General features: G+C 43.5%; 1 protein-coding gene across 11 annotated transcripts in view, besides 1 other annotated feature; it reads right to left on the bottom strand.

The window, feature by feature from the left end:
• The window catches only part of C6orf89 (chromosome 6 open reading frame 89), a 57,121-nt gene that overhangs the window by 10,482 nt on the left and 25,626 nt on the right, over window positions 1-21,013 (bottom strand). For 8 of the 11 annotated variants that reach the window (XM_047418339.1, XM_047418337.1, XM_047418342.1 and 5 more), the window contains 5 exons: window positions 18,850-19,057; window positions 16,049-16,262; window positions 4,048-4,199; window positions 3,790-3,929; window positions 1,909-2,038 (listed from right to left, as the gene is read on the bottom strand). In XM_047418339.1, the coding sequence (XP_047274295.1) occupies window positions 1,909-2,038; window positions 3,790-3,929; window positions 4,048-4,199; window positions 16,049-16,262; window positions 18,850-19,038 (825 nt within the window). In that variant the 5' untranslated portion in view covers window positions 19,039-19,057. Of the gene's footprint in view, window positions 1-1,908; window positions 2,039-3,789; window positions 3,930-4,047; window positions 4,200-16,048; window positions 16,263-18,849; window positions 19,058-20,257; window positions 20,377-21,013 lie in introns of those variants that run through there. The other 3 variants (NM_001286636.2, NM_001286637.2, XM_047418336.1) reach the window with 2 other exon arrangements.
• Window positions 9,396-9,690: a silencer, noted in NCBI's record as "tiled region #12138; K562 Repressive DNase matched - State 5:Enh". NCBI's record gives its function as "represses a minimal TATA promoter and a strong SV40 promoter by Sharpr-MPRA in K562 cells {active_cell/tissue: K562}" and the evidence as "EXISTENCE:reporter gene assay evidence [ECO:0000049][PMID:27701403]".

Here is a 21,013-nt window from a genome sequence, read left to right as displayed (position 1 = left end):
GGCAACACCAGAGCCATTTCACCGGCTAATGTGGTGACAGGGACAGCCTGGTGTCTTCAGCTAGCCTTCAGTTGACTGGTACTAATATTGGCAGAAGCCTTAACATCTGTAGTCCTCAAAACAATCTCAGAAGGACCAAAACAAGTGGCTGTATCCCTTCTTCACACAGGCCTGAAGTGGGCAGGGTCATGTTCATCCATTCCCAGGATGGGAAGAAACAGACAAGAGGGTGGCACAGGCCAGCCCTAGGCCACACCGTGGAGTGGGTGAAGTGGGCCTTGGAGGCCCTCACCTTCTCCCCGAGTGCCACTTAACAACCAGCTCCCCAATTCTGTCCCAAGGCTGCCTTTGGACACTGGGCCCACAGACACGTGACTTTAACAGGGCCCAGGGCCCAGGGCCCAGGGATGTGGACAACAGGGTGGGGTAACAAGGCTGCGGGGAAAGGGGAGCTTGGGCCAGGGTGGGGAAACAGATTCTCTAAGAAACTGGGTTCTCAAGAGTTTTGCCTGTCTGGCCACTGCCCTTCCCAAAACATCCTCGAGAACCACAGCATGACTCTCGTAAGCATTTGAGTAACTCTGTATTTACTCCTTTGGCTGGGCTCCTTGGTGTTGCACACGCTGGAGAAATTAACTTTGGTATTCAAGTGGTAAAACCAAGAGAAAGATAAAGCCGTGTCCCAGAATTATATTTATGAAGATGAAATCATACAAGGGCCTGGAATTCCAGCCGGCGACAGCAGGATAAACTTCTTTAAAATCTGAGGCAAGAGCCCAGCATCTCCACCCCAGTGCTGGCAGACAGAACTTCTTACTTCTAGACAAAATGATTGTTTTTATAGGCTTTTAAATTCCTTTAACACAATTCAGCAAATTTGGAGCCAAGCGATAGTATCAGGAGGTGGAAGCCATGGTCCAGAGGTGGCAGGGGGCCATAGTTTGGGAAATTTATTTTTTTATGAAGGAAAATGCATGCTTTTAATTCTCCCAAACCGATCCAGGCTCAAAAACCTTCCTTAGGAATGAGACTCAACAAAAGGAGCAATTCAGAGAAAAGTAAACAGACACAAATGCAGAACAGCTTCTCCCAGTCCACTGGCCCCAGAGAGGTAACTTTGGCTCTGAGCACTTGGCCCCAGACTGAAGTGGGAAATGATGGGGGCAGAGTGGGCTTTTCTACCCCAGCTGGGCTGCCTGCCTATCAAATCCTTCCCAGGCTCCCACACTTTTTGCCTTTCAAGTTCTCTACCTGAAATCTCTTAATTGTTTATTTCTGGCAAAAACCATCCTGGGGGTGAGAGGGTAAAGGGTGTGTCCTTGGGCAACTCACTTAATCTCTCTGGGACTCAGTTTCCTTATCCACAAAATGGAGCAGTTATTCTATTCATCCACATACTATTACCTTATAGCTTTCTTTTCTTTTTTTGAAAAAATAGAGATAGGGTCTCCCTATATTGCCCAGGCTGGTCTGAAACTCCTAGGCTCAAGCAATCCTCTTGCCTCAGCCTCCCCAAGTGCTGGATTACAGGCGTGAGCGACCACCGATCATGGCTGCTTGCCTACTTTCTAATTTAAGGTAGGAAAGCCAGACTAATTGCACCCTCAAGTCCTTCAAATTTTAAGATTTCACTTCTTTTAATATAGAAAAGTAGTTTGCCTCAGGTGTTAAGGGCAGGAGGCAGATTTGCAAGGTAACTAGATTTTCTGGAAACCTGCCTTCATGACAAGGTGGGCCCCTGCAAGTCTCCTGGCTAGCAGCAGGAGGGGAGAACTAGACTGTGTGGGTGTCCCCTCAATTCACCCTGTAACCCTCTAAGCCAATATGCAGGGAAGGCCTTGGTTATGACATCAGTCCAGGTCCCAAATAAAGAAAATTCTAGATCCAAGTCCTCTCAAAATTTCCTACCTTACTCCCCACAACAGGTTCTGGGTGAAGAAAGGAGCACTTGTTTAAAGAGGCATCTTTTGGAAATGGCAGGTGAGTGAAAACAGGAAAAAGCTCACGTAACATTTGTGATCTGTTCAGAGGTCTCCTCCTGTAGAAGTATGAAACAGAAAAAAAGTAATTAAACTGGTCAAGCCAGCCCATGACTAAGAGAGAGCCAAGTAAGGGTGGGAAAACTGTGGGCGGTGGGTAAAGAGGGAAAAATATGAGTACAGTATCTTAAGTACTAGGTCCCTGAAGAATAGTTGCACAGAGTCAATGAACTATAATGTGTACACACACAGGCATAAACTCTACAGCCATGATTTGAGTATGTGGGTGGAGTGTTTCTAAATTGCAGCTAAAACAATATATATTGGAAGGAAAGAAATAATCTATTCATTCTATCTTGGAAAAGACTGAAGTAACAGCAGGCCAGGCGGGGGAAGGGGAGAAGAGAGAAGGAGGAAGGGACAAAAAGCATGACCCTTCTTCTGAGGCACAGGGAGACGCAGGGGGAAGCCTGCTCAGCTTGTTCAACTGGGCACTCTAGCACGCAAACAAACAGCACATTTAAAGAAAGATAGAAGCATTAAGAAATTAACAAAAAGCCTGAAAAAGTCATTTTAATTCTTTCGAAACAGTTCTAAGATGGAAACTGGCTTTCTTTTCTTACTAGACAGCAACCTTAACCACAAGGAATGAACCATGTCTTCCGCAGGGCACAGGAAGGAACAGCAGGACAAACTGGGGTTTCGATCCTGGCTGGGTAACCTTAGGCAAGTTACTTAATCTCTCTGTTTCCCATTTTTCTTTCTTTCTTTCCCCCTCCCCCAACCTTTTTTTTTTTTGAAACAGGGTCTCACTTTGTCGCCCAGGCTGGAGTGCAGTGGTATGATCATGGCTTACTGCAGCTTCAACCTCCCAGGCTCAAGCCATCCTCCCACCTCAGCCTCCCAAGTAGCTTGGATATTTTTTGTAGAGATGGGGTCTCCCTATGTTGCCTGGGCTGGTCTCCAACTCCCGGGCCCAAGTGATCAACCCGCCTCAGACTCCCAAAGTGTTGGGATTATAGGCATGAGCCACCACGCCTAGCTACTGATCCCCACTTGTCTGATCTGAAGAATGACAACAATCATTCCTACTTTCCAGAGTTATTATCAGTGTCCCCAGTGAGACACAGACACTAAGCACCAAGCCACACTGCCTGGCAGAAACAAGTGCCAAAAAATGCAATTCTCCTTCTATTATTTGCACTCTCTCTTCAGCCCCCTGCATGAGGCCCCATTCTACATAAAATGCTAAATGCATACTTCGAAATAAATTATGACTCTATTAGACAAACTTGCTGTCCCCCCCATGGTGGCACCCCTCCTTCTGACACACCTCTTCATCCATCCCTTTTATCTCTCATCACTGGTTTATCAGTGGGATCCCAGCATTGGATTTGTAAAGTGTTGGGCCTGTGGTAGTGGCTCAGTGATAGCTATTACTGTTTTGCAGGTATTTCTGGTCTGCCCCTTTCCTACTCGCACGCTAAGTGCCCCCATAGCCCCCCCATTTTTTTGAGACACAGTCTCACTCTGTCACCCAAGCTGGAGGGCAATGGCGCGATCTCAGCTCATGGCAACCTCCACCTCCCAGGTTCAAGTGATTCTCATGCCTCAGCCTCCAGAGTAGCTGGGATTACAGGCATGCACCACCATACCTGGCTAATTTTTGTATTTTTAGTAGAGATGGGGTTTTGCCATGTTGGCCAGGCTGGTCTGCAACTCCTAGGCTCAAGTGATCTGCCTGCCTCGGCCTCCCAAAGTGCTGGGATCACAGGCATGAGCCACTGTGCCCGGCCCTTTTCACACTCACCATGGATAAGGAAATGGGAACCACCGCTCAGGAAAGCAGCGCCACCACTTGGCGAAAAACCCTTCAGAGAAGCCTTCTGTCGCCTCAGGGTACTGGCACAAAAAATGCTGAATCTCTTCCTCCAACAGGGGCTTTCCCGTCTTGGCAAGGCAGGAAACAAAACAAAACAACACAGAGTTACTTGTCAGAAATTTCCTAGAGCTTGACCTAGCCTTTAAGCAAGCAGCCAATCAGCGGGAGACTCAGGCTTCTGCTCACCTTGATCACCAGTGGATGGAGCCTCTCAAATTTCCTTGGGGCGTCTTCCAGGAGCATCACCTTCAGGTGTTTCTGGGCACAGCCAGTGCAGTTGGCAGGAATGGGCTCTGACTCATTCTGCTCACAGTCGTTTGTCCACCAGGGGTCAAAGTCTGAGAGAGGAAGGGATATGGAGAAAACAGATACTGAAAGAGCATAGCTGGTACATCCAGTAGCTCCAACAATGAAACAAGAAAGGAAAGACATCATAATGACTTTTATTTATTTATTTATTTTGAGACAGAGTCTCACTCTGTCGCCCAGGCTGGAGTGCAGTGGTGCCGTCCAGCTCACTGTAACCCCTGCCTCCTGGGTTCAAGGGATTCTCCTGCTACAGCCTTCCGAGGAGCTGGAACTACAGGCGCATGCCACCACACATGGCTAATTTTTGTATTTTTAGTTGAAACGGGGTCTTGCCATGTTGCCCAGGCTGGTCTTGAATTCCTGGGCTCACATGATCTGCCCACCTTGGCCTCCCAAAATGCTGGGATTACAGGCGCAAGCCACCGCATCCAGCCCATAATAATTTTTAAAAACAAACAATGATAAGCACTGGAGACCGCTGAAAAGGTAAGGTATATATGAAGCAGCCTCTGAGGAGGGAGTAGAGGACAGGAGCAGGAAGGAGAGGTACTCTTCTCTGTATACCTTTTTACACTTTGTGGAAAATATCTTTTAACCTGTCATGCATTTCCTAAATCAAATCAACAAATAAAGCATAACAGCTAGGAAAAACATTCAGCAATGTGGAGCTAAAGATGTAGTTCCCCCAACATTTTCTAACCTATGACCCATATGGCTGAAACGTCTACAGCACAGGGGGGCTGGTGTGGATAGAAGGGTGACCCCTATTATCGCTGTGCCCTAATGCACTTCTCACACATGCTGGATGTGTGCATAGACCCTTGCTTCACAAGTACACATGGGAGCCAGGACTCCGGGAAGGAAGAGTGAGAAAAGGACACAGAAGAGGAAAGGGATGGAGAGGGTAGACAGGACTTTTCTGGAGCCATCTTTGGAATAAAGTGAATTGCATCTGTCCATAAGACAGCCCTCTATCCCAGCTCAGGAGGGGGTGGGGCCGCCAGCCATAGTTTCCAGCCCCACATGCTGGTCAGAAATGGAAGACCCCCAACCCAGACCCTGCTGTGTGACAGCGGCTCCCTGACATGCCTGTCTGGTTTGGCTCCTTCTCTGAGGGGCTCTTGTTTCTGCACAGCCTTTCCCAGCTTCCCTCTGTTACCATGCTGTTTATAATGTTATTTCATTATTTCTTGTTTACTTTCTGTTCCATTTTGGATTTCGTCTAGGTTCTCTGAGAGATGTGTTTGTTTTAAACTCTGCTTTGAATCTAAAACGTTTCAGAAGACGGTTCTGATTAAAACCCAATGGAAACCAAATCAGGAGAGAGCCTACGACAAATGATAACAGACAACCAAATGTGGCTGAAACGAAGTCAATTTTTTAAACCAATAAACATACTTGGAAACTGACTCTTAACCACAAAACATTTTCTGTGGTTGGCAGTAAGCACTACATGCTTGTTTTCTCTGAGGCAGTAGTAGTGGGGCATAGGAAATCCTCGTCAGGGAAAGACCGTGTTTGTTCTTGGCCGGTCTGCTGAGCATCCTCCATCTCTTGAAGATAGTATCTGTGTTTCCTGGAGGCAACTGCCACCTACCTTTCTCAGCCAGTCTCAACTCGCAGGAAGATTATTAGTCAGAGGATTACCGCTACACCCTGCTCCTGGGAGGGCGCCTCTCCTCCCACAGTACTCTGGGGGTAGCTGAAAACCCTTTAGTACCACCTGTTTCAGTGGCACACTGAGGCTGCAAAGTTGCATTTTTTCTTCTCCAATATTTTCAAATGCTTCTTATTCAGTGTCAAATATGATAAATTCTTGCCAATATGCAAAAGCTCTGGGTAATGGACACACCATGGGGCATAATCATAACAACATGTTACAATTATATAGCATTTCGGTTTCCAAAGTACTTGCGATGGAAGGGGAAGGAGAAAGCAAGCTAATGCACTGAGTGCTTGCCCTATGTTAGTCACTTTCCCATGTTATAGCATTTAATTTTCACTGTGTAATTACTGAGGAGGAATCACTATTCTCATTCTGTGGATGAACAAACTGAAAGTTAGAGGTGATAGGAAGTTCCTGAGGTGCCAGAGTGTGGCAGGAAGAACACAGCAGATGCTGGGCGTGCAGTGGGGGTTTGGGTAAGGAAACAGGCTGCAGAGGAAGATGTGGTGAGGGCTTCCAGGGCTTGAAGCATGTCTGGCTCTACTCAGAACAAAAAGAGGAACTGTTGGAGGCTTTTGAGCAGGAATTTCTCGATGTTCTAGGAAGATTATTCTGGATTGTGATTAGGGTGCCCTAGAAGAGAGAGGCTGGGAAAAGGAAGATCTGGTTATATTTTGGTTTTGCCCTTTTTTAGGGAAAAGGTCGGGGGGGGGGGGTTCACTGTGATGAGAAGTGAAATATAATGAATGAGGCAGTGGGAATGGAAAAAAGGGGTGGATTCTAGAAGCAGTGAAGATGAAATCTACAGCCCCAAGGAGCACTACTGTGAATGTTTGCACTATACTGTCCTCTTGGTCAGTGTCATAATAAACCTGCAGATCTCTGGTATCACCTATGTCATTAGTGCTCATCTAGGGAACGTCATCTGCAGATTTATTATGACACTTTTCTGTAGTAGCGTGTCATATTCCAACAGAATCAGTTAATTATGACAGTCTTCCCAGGAGATGAGAGTAAAGCACCAGGAGAAAGGGGCACCTTCCTCGAATTTGTATAAAGGTGCTGCATGGGCTAGCACCGAGCAGCTCTTAACCTAAGAGTTAGGAGAATTATTTTAACTATAATTTATTTAATTATTATTATTATTATTTTTTTTGGAGATGGAGTCTAGCTCTGTCGCCCAGGCTGGAGTGCAGTGGCGCGATCTCGGCTCACTGCAACCTCCGCCTCCTGGGGTCAAGCGATTCTCCTGCCTCAGCCTCCTGAATAGCTGGGATTACAGGTGCCCGCCACGAAGCCTGGCTCATTTTTGTATTTTTAGTAGAGACAGGGTTTCACCATGTTGGCCAGGCTGGTCTCAAACTCCTGATCTCAGATGATCCGCCAACCTCAGCCTTGCAAAGTGCTGGGATTACAGGCGTGAGCCACTGCGCCCAGCCCAGCCTAACTTATTTAATTTTAATTTTATTCAGAGCTTTAGATATTCTTGGGATTTCCAGGTGGAGATCCCTTTAAAAAGCAGGTAGAAGAAAACCCAGTAAAGGGAAATCAAGAAAGAAAAAGAAAGTAGGAATAGCAAACTAAAAGAAAAACTTGGAGGTGGTGTTCCTTGAGGGAACTGAAAGTTAGAGGCGAACACAAGTAAAAAACTGTTAGTACTAAAAAGAGAATTTAATAAGGTGACAGAATACAAGATACAGATTTTCAGATACATAAAAATCAATAGCTTTCTTACTCTACTGGCCACAATCAGTTAAAAACTGAAATGGAAAATAATCTCATTCATAATAACTAGCAATAAATTTAACAAGATAAAACATTTATGGGTGGTGGCTGATGCTTGTAATCCCAACACTTTGGGAGGCTGAGGTGGGATCGCTTGAGCCCAGGAGTTTGAGACCAGCCTTTTTTTTTTTTTTAGAGACAGGGTCTTGCTCTGTCGCCCAGGCTGGAGTACAGTGGCACATCTCAGCTCACTGTCGCCTTGACCTTCCAGGCTCAAGTCATCCTCCCACCTCAGCCTCCCAAGTAGCTGGGACTACCAGTGTGTGCCATCACACCCAGCTAATTTTTGTATTTTTGGAAGAGACAGGGTTTCATCATGTTGCTCAGGCTGGTCTTGAACTCCAGAGCTCAAGCAATCCACCCGCCTTGGCCTCCCAAAGTGCTGGAATTATAGGTGTCAGCCACCATGCCTGGCCAATAAAGGATAAACATAGATTTTTAATTAAGTGAGGAAAGGGTAGATTCAATAAATCAAATTGGGACAAGTGACCATCTATATGGAAGAAAATAAAGTTAGATTCCTACCCTTTCACCATATACTAAATTAAATTCTAGATTGATTAAAAGATACAAATAGATAACATAAAATTTTAAAAATAACTAAAGGAGCTGGGCATGGTGGCACTTTAGTCCCAGCTACTCAGGAGGCTGAGGCAGGATAATCTCTTGAACCCAGGAGTTCAAGGCTAGCCTGGGAACACAGTGAGATCCTGTCTCAAAAAAAAAAAAGCTAGAGGAACTACTCCAAACCATAGAGAGTTCACATATATTCATGAGTTCTCACCTGTATAAAAATGTGTCTGTAAATGTGAGACTTTAGATAAATTAGTCAATCCCTTGGCACATCAGTTTCCTCATCTTTGAAATGGATATAAAAACAGTATCTACCCTAAGTGACTGTTGTGAGGACTGAGAAATGAGTATTTTTATAATCTTTGGGACAAGGAAGGCTTCCTAGAGGCTATAAAGGAAAAATGGACAGATTTGACCAATATTTGCATATACGAGACAAATAATCAGTATTTCTAATATATAAGCCTCTGTTTGAATTAACAAAAAACTTTTTTTTTTTTTTTTTTGAGACAGGCTCTCATTCTGTCACCCAGGCTGAAGTGCAGTGGTACAATCACGGCTCACTGTGGCCTTGACCTCCCCGGGCTCAGGTGATCCTCCCACCTCAGCTGCCAGAGTAGCTGGGACTACAGGTGTGCACCACCATATATGGCTAATTTTTTGTATTTTTTGTAGAGCTAGGGTTTCTCCATGTTGCCCAGGGTAGATAAAAAAATTTTTAATGGGGAAAAAATATGAACAAGGAATTCACAGAAAAGTATTATAAATATAAATGGCCTATAAACCATTTGAAAAGACATGCAATTTGACTAATAATCAATGAAATGCAACTTGAAATGAGATACTATTATTTAGTTTTCTAACTGGCAAAACATTGACAACATCCAGTGTCAATGATCAACATATGCTGTTAATGAAAGTATAAGCTGGTATAAGTTTATGAAGACAATTTGGTTGCATTTATTAAAATTTAAAATGCACATGCCCTTTGACTCAGCGAGTCCATTTCCAAGAATATATCTTACAGAAAAAAAGTATATCTATATAAAGATATGTGTATATGAATCTCTCAGGTACATATTTTTGTAATAGCAAAAAAAAAAAAAACCCACAACAACCCTAGAAAATGGTTAAATTATAGAAGAGTCACAGAATCAACTAATATAAAATCCTCAAAAATATATAGAGAGGGTTTAATTATGTTTTCCCAAAATCCACATTTTCCTGGAACCTCAGAACATGACCTTGGAGATAGGGTGGCCACAGATGTAGTCATTTAAGATGAGGTCATACTGAAGTAGGATGAGCCCTGAATCCAATCTGAATGATGTCCTTAGAAGAAGACAGAAGACACAAAGACACACATAGAAAGCAGATGGCCACGTGAAGATAAAGGCAGAGGCTGAAGTTATGCTGACACAGCCAAGGAATGCCAAGGACTGCTGAAAACCACCAGAAACTGGAAGAGGCCAGGAAGGATTCTTCCCTAGAGCCTTTGAGAGGGGACGTGGCCCTATCAACCTGGATTTCTGACTTCTAGACTCCACAACTGTGAGGTACTGGATTTCTGTTGTTTTAAGCTGCTCGGCCTGTGATGCTTTGTTTCAGCAGCCTTAGAAACTAATACAATGTGTCTAGCCAAAAATATGTATATGAGATCTTTTGTATGTGTGTGAACAAAAAAGTATTTCTATTTATATATATTAAGTATATCTATTTGTATAGACATGGAAAAACTCAGAAGGATGTATACCAAGTTATTATTAGCAGTTGCTTGAGTAGAAAAGTTAAAAGGATAGAGATGAGAAATATTACTTTATTATAAGTATTTTTAAATATCAAAATATTACACCTCTTACTGTCTTTGTATGCATGTATTTTATGTACTTTCCAAGTCAAAATGTCCTTGGAGATCATGAAAACTGAAGCTGAGAATTCAATGCTGAAGTGTAGAGGTAAATCATCTCAGAAGGCTGGCCCCAGAGAGGTATCTGACAGGAGCAGAGGTGGCCAGGCTGGTGGCCCGCAAAGAAGGAAGGGAAGTAACAAGAAAAAAGGATCACTGGAATGGGGTAGCCTATGCCATCCACCTGAACTAAGGGAGCCCAAACTTTAAAAGAAAGAACTACTTTTGATTTCTCTGTAGCCTGAGATCACCAAGGTGGATAAAGCATAAGCTTAGAGAGAGGAACGGGCAAACGGTGAACTAGGGGTGGAGGTAGGGTGCAGGCTCCTCTTCCTCTCCCCACAGAGTCCCTGACAACAGAAAGAGATGTGGCCAGACTCCAGCTTGGCCTCTGTCCATCTGAAAAGGTTTTGTCTGACGTGTTCTCTATACAACTGGCTGGAGCCATCATGCCACAAAGTGAACAAAATTCCATCCTGGGAAACAGCCAACAGCACACAGCCAGCCGAGCCCATGCCACCCTAGTTTACGGCTTTTGACTACCTAATATGCTGCATCTCACTTCTTTCCAGCCCTCCTGTTTCTAACCACTTTTCCTGAAGCACCAGACAGAAAAGTCAGCGTAAATTATATAGCAACTTCCTACTTTTAATTTCTAAGGCTTCTTTACTCCAGATATCCCTCATACCAGATATTTTAAACATTTTTTAAAGGTATGACAGAGAAGAGAAATCCTACATATAAAAGTTCAATAAAGCTTATAACTTGTATTTCAAGTTTTCACTATGATTTGGAATGATTTCACTGTTGGAGATGTCAAAAACAGTCTCTCAGACAAAACACAGCCTTGAAGTCAACGTGCAGAGACCATAACTATCCACCCTTCTTTACAAGTTGGGCACTGGGCAGAAAAATGGATGGGCCAGCGTCTCACCCATCAGGGAGCTTCCTGGTGCCTGAGAGTTATTTACAAGAAAACTCACTTAGGCTGGTTCTCTGTAGACAACCATAACATATCCTGGAATTCTGAGTGGGGAGAGTACTGTTACATAGATTATTTACCTGGCAAAAACAAAACAAAACAAAACAAAACAAAACAAAACAAAAGATTTCTTTCCAGGACAAAAAACTCCCTCTGGATAAAAAGGATAGGGAAGAAAGAAAAGAACAAAGCCAATACTAGCTCTACAAGAGCAGTGGTTTTGTCTGTTTTGTTCACTGCTTTGTTGAGAACAGTGCCTGGCATATATAGCAGGGTCTCAATAAACATTTACTGAATGAGTGAATGAAGTTGGGGAGAGGGAGGAAGGGATGGAAGGAGGAAAAGAAGGAGGGAGGAAGGCAGGAAGGCAGGCAGGAAGGCTGATTTTTCAGAAGCTTTAACAATAGAATTAAGTCCATGGGGAGAAAAATCAAATGAGCAATCTGGATTCACAGAAACCTCAAAATAAAGATTAAATAAATATAACTTCATCATTTCTTGCATTATAAATATAGCCAAGAAAACCCTGCAAAGCCCATGACAAAGTTCCCATGACTTTCACTAGTGTGTGCTCAATATTTAATCAGGCTGCTCTCCAGAAGCTTGTTTGTGCATAGCACCTCTTCTAGTACCCCGGGCATGAGGCAGGGGTGAAGCCTTGACAATGAAGGAGGCTTCTGCCAGGTCCCTGCATGTGTGGCACCATGCCCAGAGCCATTTTCACACACCGTAGAGGGAAAGAGCCCAAGAAATCATTTCACCAACAGCCTTGCCTCCAGGAAGCAATGCATTTGAACCACTCCAAACCACAGAGAAAGTCTATTTTCATGAGTTCTCACTTGTACAAAAATTTGTTTCTAAATGTGAAAATTTATTATCAAAAACACAGCAAAAGAAAAAATTAAAAATAAATAAATGTGAGACTTCAGATAAGTCAGTCAATCCCCTTGCACATCAGTTTCCTCATCTTTGAAATGAACATAAAAACAGTATCTACCTTATGTGACTGCTGTGAAGACTGAGAAATAAACTGCACGGCACAGTACCTGGTATACAGTAAGTGCTTGACAGAGCTGTTATTATCACAGAAGGTAAGCTTATTTTGCAAATAAAAGAGGAAGGTTTTCCTTGCGGTCTAAGCAGTTCATCTTTGAGCACAGATCTGGACTCTCTAAGTCTTACTAGATTCTTAGTTTGAGGCCAATAAATGATTTGCTATTTCCAAAACTTCTTGATGTTGCTGGATCTACTTCATCCTTCCTTTGAAGGTTACGGGATGCATCGAGTTCCAAATGTGTGCCTTTTCACTGTATGTGAGAACTATCCCAGGCTTCCTCAGTAGAAATGAATATGTTATTTTTAAGTTGGCCAGAAAATGACCAAAGTAAAAAAAATAATTGGCTGAACATGCTAGCGCCTGGCTTGACTGAGGGCAGAGATGGCAGGCTGTAAGTGTGATATCTTGGACAGAATGCTAGAGGGAGTTAAGAAACTAGGGTTCAAGTGTGATTTTGCCACTTTTAGCTGGGTAAGCAAGCTCCTTTACCTCTCCTGGCCTCAGTTACCTCTTTTATAAAATGGGGTATGTACTAGATTAACTCTAAAATTCTTTTCTGGCTTTAAGACTCAATGATTCCATGGAAATGGTAAAAACCAAGGGGATGGCCGGCAGGAGTAAAGTGACTATAAAGATATGAAGCCAGGAGGGGAGAAAAGCAGTAAGAATGTGAATGTAAAGAGAAAACTCTGGGTCAGTAAGAGGAAGGATTAAGTCAGTCAAATATTATCCATAAGGGTGCAGACTAGGGAGGATGAACTGGGCTGAATGTCAGGGTGCAGACTAGGGAGGATGAACTGGGCTGAATGTCTAAGACAACACCAGGTCGGGAAAATTCTAAAGGGTCAGAAGCTTGGAAGACCACTTATCTTTGGAACAGCCAGAAAGAATATTGTCTCTTCAGGGACTAGGGAGTTAAGAGAAAGTAACTGATGATCCGAGAGAGACAGTGGTAGAACTCCAACATCAGACTTAAAGCTAGACTCTTCAGGTCTACTGCACAGCTACAGACTACTCACATCAGAGGCGAAGGGCTCAGACTCTGAAGACTGGCTGCCTGGGTTCAAATCATGGCTCCGTGACCAGACCTGGGACCTTGAGCAAGTGACCTAACCATACTGTGCCTCAGTGTCCTCATCTGTAAAATGGGCATAAAACCTGAAGCTACCCTATAGGGATGTTGTCAAGATTAAATAAGCCGATATATGGAAAGCCCCCTGAACAGGGTCTGGCATCTGGTAAGTAATAAACAACTGTCAGTTTATTTACTTATTTTTTGCTGCAGAGCGGGATGTTTCCATGACTCGCTGCAAAGTCACTTCATTCTTCTTATTGAGAGCATTTAGGGGCAGGATTTCCTATCTAAGGCTGAAATCTAGAAAAAGAACCCCACCTCTGTCACCTTTTTGTTCCCTGGGTGGGGTCAGGGGAAACTTCCAGTCATTGGTGGTGGTGCCTCTTGTACATCACCAAGGCTGCAGCTGCCCTCCATCATTCCCGAGGTGCCACTGCAAGGAGCACCAGATGACCCTGGGAGTGTGAGACAGGCCAGCACTTCAGGAAACCATATGGGGTTTCCTTTCGGGAATCTGTCACACCATTCTCCCCTTGCATTTACTTTAAATGTATGGCCAACTAATCCTAACCTGAAGGTAGTTGTTTTTTGATACCAGGACATTAAAAAATGATATATTTTTACTTTTCCTGCCCTCTTACAGGCCCAGATTAAGTTGCACTTAATTCTCCCTCATGTGTTTCTGTTTACTCTTCATATAATTACGTGTTTTTAACTTTTCTTCCAAATGCTACGCAAAATGCTGTTAGTTTCACATGTCTACAGCTTCCCAGAATTATCATACATAGGAAAATATGGTGCTTCCACATCCACATTTACAAGTAAAAACAGCACTTTAATAGAATCAACAACATTAAAGAGCTAAAGCCACACCCTTCCAATGCTCACTCGCTCTCTCTACAACTGAGCTCCAAGGACTCATTTTATTTCCATCTGCAAGGCAAAATATTGATTTGAAGTAGTCCAAATAATCCAGCTTGTTTACAAGACACTAATGTTTCTGGAATGTTTAAACTATGATTTAGAGAAGAAGCGAGCAGTGTTCATTGACGATGCCCCATTTCTCAGTTCAACCGTGTATGGAGATTTACTTTATAGGACTGGGGAAGAAGATAATGCCATCAACCAGGTCAGGAAAACTCATCAGGAGTTGCCGTTAGGGAGGCTTTGAGGGGAAGACAGTCAGGAAAGGAGACTGGTGTGTCTGAGGAAGAGGCACAGACTGGCCTAACTGACAAGTTTCTCTCGCTGTTTCCTCCAAACACTTTGAACCGTTCTAATAGGAGTTTGAGACTGCATTTTTTTTTTTTTAGCTCTGTTGGTGACATTTCAAAAGCAACCTTCCCAATAAATACAAGGAAGTTACATCTGAAATTTTCAAATGAAATATCTGAGCTGTTGATTTTTTAAAAAAAAACAAAAACTCCTGAGGTGGAATTCTTGTCTTACAATGTTCCCTTCCTCTGATTTTGATACAATTTTGGAAACCTTTCCATGACTTCCTCAAGTATACAAAAATAGCTTTCGATGGAGACCCAATCCAAGGGATGATTTTTATGACTCATTAGATCTTAAAGAATGACATTATGAGACCATCCTGGCTAACACGGTGAAACCCTGTCTCTACTAGAAATACAAAAAATTAGCCGGGCGTGGTGGCGGGCACCTATAGTCCCAGCTACTCAGGAGGCTGAGGCAGGAGAATGGCGTGAACCCAGGAGGCAGAGCTTGCAGTGAGCCAAGATCGCACCACTGCACTCCAGCCTGGGCGACAGAGCGAGACTCCAACTCAAAAAAAAAGAGAATGACATTATGATTATAAAGCTTAAATACATTTTTTCTGAAAGCATTTTTCCTAAAATTTAAGACACATTCTAAAAGTTTCGGATCATGGTTACACAATAAATTCTATAATCCATTTGTGATATTAATACACATATTATTCTACATTGCCAAATAAGATAAACATCACCAAAAAAATCCCAAAATAATATCCCCCTTTCTCAAAAAGTAAATTTCTTTACACACACACACACACACACAAAATTGGAGGCAGGGTCTCGCTATGTTGCCCAGGCTGGTCTTGAACTCCTGGGCTCAACCAATCCTTTTGCCTCAGCTTCCCAAATTGCTAGGATTATAGTTGTAAACCACCACACCCAGCCTGAAAAAGTAAATTTCAACTCTTATTACATGTTAACACTGTTCTCAAAAGGAAACCCCTCAAATAGTCTATCAGACTATGAATTCTTATGCCACCGATGCACTGTTACTAAATTTATGTGTTTTTTAATTTCTACTTACTGGCAAAATTGATATACTTTAGAGGACTAAATTAAATGAGCTGTGACAGACAGAAGGACTAAACTGAAAGAGTGGGATATACCCAGACAAAAACCTAGCCCAATAGGCCAAGGACTGTTAGAGGACCTTTAGAAGCAAGCTGAACTCGGTTGCTTTCAATAAACCAATACCTATGTATTAAATATGCATTATGGACAGGAATCACAGGAGAGAAAAGGATGAGATACAATCAAATCCTTTTTATGGGCAAAGACATTTGTCCCCATCATGTGTGTTCTGGAATTTGGGGGTGTGTATTTGGCTCTACCAGATGTTCCTCTAGCGAGTTTCTTAATCTCTCTGACCCTTGGTTTCTTAATCTGTGAAACGGGGATAATAAACCCCATCTCATAGAGTTTTAGTGGGGACTGAATTAAAAGATACAATATAGGGAGCTTGCCTCTCATTAGGTATCAATAAATGTTACTTCCTTTCCTATCATATACTGTCAAGAAAACTATATCTAATAAGTAATAAATGTTGCATTTTACCTGGAAAGGGTCTGTCTTCATCACCCCCATGCAGAGGAACTCCCTTATTTTCTGACATGTACTTCTTGGCAATGGGCAAGGACATCAGCCTAATGTGATGGATGAGTGAGCGCCAGGTGTGAGCTCCAGAAAGCACTGGCTCAGGTGCTAATGGGCTGAAAGGTTGAATCACAAAGTAGGCAGTGAGCAAGATTAATCCCAAGGTTGCGAGAACCTACAAGGAAAGATAGAAAAGGCATTAATCCCAGCAAACAAATACCTTAATACCAAGAAAAAAAACAAAACAAAACAGGCTTCTTCTGCTACTTCCAATGTGCCTTAAGAACTAATCCATTTTCATAAACAAGCCACTTAGGTTTACTTCTGGAAGAATTTAGAATTTGAGAACTATAGGGACTGCAAGGCTCACCAAGCTGCTACCATATAATCAGTGTATTTTAAAATTCACCATTTAAAAATACACAGGCTGGGCATGGTGGCTCTCGCCTGTAATCCCAGCACTTTGGGAGGCCGAGGCGGGCAGATCATGAGGTCAGGAGATCGAGACCATCCTGGCTAACACGGTGAAACCCCGTCTCTACTAAAAATACAAAAAAATTAGCCAGGCATGATGGTGGGCGCCTGTAGTCCCAGCTACTTGGGAGGCTGAGGCCGGAGAATGGCGGGAACCCGGGAGGCGGAGCTTGCAGTGAGCCGAGATCGCGCCACTGCACTCCAGCCTGGGCGACAGAGCGAGAGACTCCGTCTCAAAAAAAAAATAAAAATAAATAAATAAAAATAATAATAATAATACACAAAGGGGGCCGGGCGCAGTGGCTCACGCCTGTAATCCCAGCACTTTGGGAGGCCGAGGCAGGTGGATCACGAGGTCAGGAGATCGAGACCATCCTGGCCAACACGGCGAAACCCTGTCTCTACTAAAAATACAAAAAATTAGCCGGATGTGGTGATGGGCGCCTGTAGTCTCAGCTACTCAGGAGGCTGAGGCAGGAGAATGGTGTGAACCTGGGAGATGGAGCTTGCAGTGAGCCAAGATCGCACCACTGCACTCTAGCCTGGGCAACAGAGTGAGACTGCATCTCAAAAAAAAAAAAAAAAAAAAAAAAAAAAAAATAATAATAATAATAATAATAATAATAATAATACACAAAGGGGCCGGGCGCAGTGGCTCACACCTGTAATTCCAGCACTTTGGGAGGCCAAGGCGGGTGTATCACCTTAGGTCAAGAGTTCGAGACCAGCTTGGCCAACATGGTGAAACCCCACCTCTACCAAAAATACAAGTATTAGGCCAGGCACAGTGGCTCATGCCTGTAATCCCAGCACTTTGGGAGGCTGAGGTGAGTGGATCACCTGAGGTCAGGAGTTCGAGACCAGCTGACCAACATAGTGAAACTCCCATCTCTACTAAAAATACAAAATTAGCCGGGCATGGTTGCGCATGCCTGTAATCCCAGCTACTTGGGAGGCTGAGGCAGGAGAATTGCTTGAACCTGGGAGGCGGAGGTTGCACTGAGCCAAGATCACACCATTGCACTCCAGCCTGGGCAACAAGAGTGAAACTCTGTCTCAAAAAATAAATAAATACATACATAAAGGCTGGCTGCAGTGGCTCACACCTGTAACCCCAGCACTTTGGGAGACTGAGGTGGGCAGTCTCGAACTCAGTCTGACAGTGATTGACTGGACTCAAGTCACTTGAGCCCAGGAGTTCGAGACCAGCCTGGACAACACGGAAAAACCCCCATCTCTACAAAAAATAGAAAAATTAGCCAGGTGTGGTGGCACATGCCTGTGGTCCTAGGTACTTGGGAGGCTGAGATGGGAGGATCACCTGAGTCTGGGAGTTCGAGGCTGCAGTGAGCCATGATGGCACCACTGCACTCCAGCCTGGGCAACACAGTGTGACCTTGACTAGAAAAATAAAAAATCTGTTCAGGTGCGATGACTTAGGCCTGTAATCCCAGCACTTTGGGAAGCCGAGGAGGGCAGATCACCTGAGGTCAGGAGTTCAGGACCAGCCTGACCAACATGGAGAAACCCTGTCTCTACTAAAAATACAAAAATTAGCCAGGTGTGGTGGCACATGGCTGTAATCCCAGCTACTTGGGAGGCTGAGGCAGGAGAATCGTTTGAACCTGGGAGGCGGAGGTTGCAGTGAGCTGAGATCACGCCACTGCACTCCAGCCTGGGCAACAGAGTGTGACTCCATCTCAAAAAAAAAACAACAAAAAAAAACAAAACACAAGGCCAGGCGTGGTGGCTCACGCCTATAATCCAAGCACTTTGGGAGGCTGAGGTGGGCAGATCACCTGAGGTCAGGAGTTCAAGACCAGCCTGACCAACATGGAGAAAACCTGTCTCTACTAAAAATACAAAATTAGCTGGGTGTGGTGGCGCACGCCTGTAATCCCAGCTACCTGGGAGGCTGAGGCAGGAGAATCACTTGAACCCAGGAGGCAGAGGTTGCGGTGAGCCGAGATTGCGCCATTGCACTCCAGCCTAGGCAACAAGAGTGAGACTCCGTCTCAAAACACACACACACAACAAACAAACAAATAATAAAAAATTAAATAATAATATTACACAAATATAATTTAACTGTAAATATGCAGCTTTCATCTAGGACCTTTAACAACACAGTCAAATTTCCTAGTAACACATGGTAACAAGAGCAAAGGCCAATTTATTCACGGAAAAACCAATGCTCAGTGGTGGGATTAGTCAACAATAGCATTTGTGAAGAATGTTGAACAGTTTGTGTTCTGTTGAAGCAATTACCAACTCAGGAAACATTTTACCTTATACACAACTATAAGGAGAGGATACTGCGGGGGGGGTCTCTGAGGTTCATTCTTTTCCAGCAGCTGTCTGATAAATTTTTCAATTGCCTTCTCTGACATGCCACACTGATGGCCGGTCTGTCTCACCAAATCAACAGTCTCTGAAAGTTTGTCATAAATGCTGATCTCGTTGGCAGCAAGATCCATGTCTTCCAATATAAAATCCCTGAGAGAGACGGAGAGAAAATAAATGTAAAAAGAAAGGTGGTTTCTTTAGGTACTTCCTCTTCAAAGCTACTTGACCATCTGTAGAGAAGGACCAGTTTTGTGCTTTCCTCAATCCTCTACAGACCAATACTTTCATGAAACACAATGAATACACAGAGACAATGTCAAATTGCCATACAAGTTTTAAAATATTCGTTAACTGTGGGCCAGGAACAGTTTACAGACCTGCACTAGTTCCCAAACTAGTGCAAACTGAGGAGCACTGGTCTAGAGCACAATATATCCTAATGGGACTCTGAAGCACTAATGACATCCAAAAAAGATTTCTGACACCAATGATGGGAGATCTGCTACTGGAGATTCCTTAAAATAAAAAAAAAATGGATTATGCACAGTGTTGTTTAACGCTGTTGTTGAACATTTGTGTTCAACACAAGAGGAAGAACTGATCACTGAAGATTACTGAAGGTGATTTACTGAGAGCAACAGGCTGATAAGCTTTGTTCTTGGCAGAGCAAAGATTTCAGACAACACAAAAACCATGGCATGTGGCTTGCAGTCCTCACACTTTTCTTTCTTCTTCTTTTTTTTAATTTCTTCTGGAGCAACCAGAGTCCTCATGCTTTTCTACAAATACAATTTTAGAAAATAAAGGGCATTTTATTTGTATTTTATATACTTAAAATACCTAAGATTTTTAACTAATTTAAAAATTCAATTTGTGTTCCTATAGTTATTTTAAAGACAGATTGTTTCATCATGCCCAGAGAACAAAAGGTAAAAACTAATGGGGCAAAGTAGAGTTCTCTCTGTATCATTTGTAAAATGAAATTAAATAGTTCCAAGGCTGGACGCAATAGCTCGTGCCTGTAATCCCAGCACTTCGGGAGGCTGAGGCAGGCGGATCACCTGAGGTCCGGCGTTTAAGACCAGCCTGACCAACACGGAGAAACCCCGCCTCTACTAAAAATACTAAATTAGCCTGGCATGGTGGCGGGTGCCTGTAATCCCAGCTACTCGGGCGGCTGAGGCAGGAGAATCTCTTGAACTCGGGAGGCAGAGGTTGTGGTGAGCCGAGATCACGCCATTGCACTCCAGCCTGGGCAACAAGAGCGAAACTCCATCTCAAAAAAAAAAAAAGAAAAGAAAAGAAAAGAAAAACAAATTTTAAAAATCAGCTTGGCCTGGTGGCACACACCTGTAGTCCCAGCTACCTGGGAAGCTGAGGTGGGAGGACTGCTTGAGCCCAGGAGTTTGAGGCTGCAGTGAGCTATGATCATACCACTGCACTCCAGCCTGGGAGACAGAACGAGATCCCATCTCTAGAGAAATAAAATAAGATAAAATAATTAAATGGCTATTTAAAAAGGTGTTTAAGTTACAGAACAATAATATTTTTCTTCATTTACAGGAGGAAGAAGAGTGCTTCTTCGGGTTTGTGCTCTCTTCTACTGGGCTTTATTTATTTATATATTTATTTTCAATACAGAGGGTCCTTTTATTTTGCATACTTCATTCCTACAGTACTTCTAGCCCCAAAAAGTACTGACATAGTACGTGTATTCTCTCAGTAAGGAGATGCTGCCACCTGTAGGGTGGAGGACATAGTCATGTTGTTACAACACAACCCAGCGCACGCCAGCACACCTCCTCTTCCAGCAGTGTGCCTCCCAATCACTCCTGTTTGGTCCTCTTTACGACTATTAAGTGTTTAGTTCATTAGGTCTTAACCTGGCTTGCACATTAGAATCACCTAGAGAGCGTTTCATAAATGCTCATACCTGGGCATCAACTCAGAGCAATTAAATCAGAATCAGAAGACTTCTAATGGTGGATTAAAAGGCATGCAATCTAGACTTCCAGGAACTGGGGGAATGAGAGAAGAGCCCACCACACTATACCCCCCACATTCAGATAAAAAGACAGTACAAACTACAGTTGAGACTTGAACAAC

The sequence above is a fragment of the Homo sapiens genome, chromosome 6, assembly GCF_000001405.40.
Source record: "Homo sapiens chromosome 6, GRCh38.p14 Primary Assembly".
NCBI classification, from domain to species: Eukaryota; Metazoa; Chordata; class Mammalia; order Primates; family Hominidae; genus Homo; species Homo sapiens.
The sequence above is the reverse complement of the archived record's forward strand: the minus strand, read 5'-3'. Positions and strand labels throughout refer to the sequence as shown.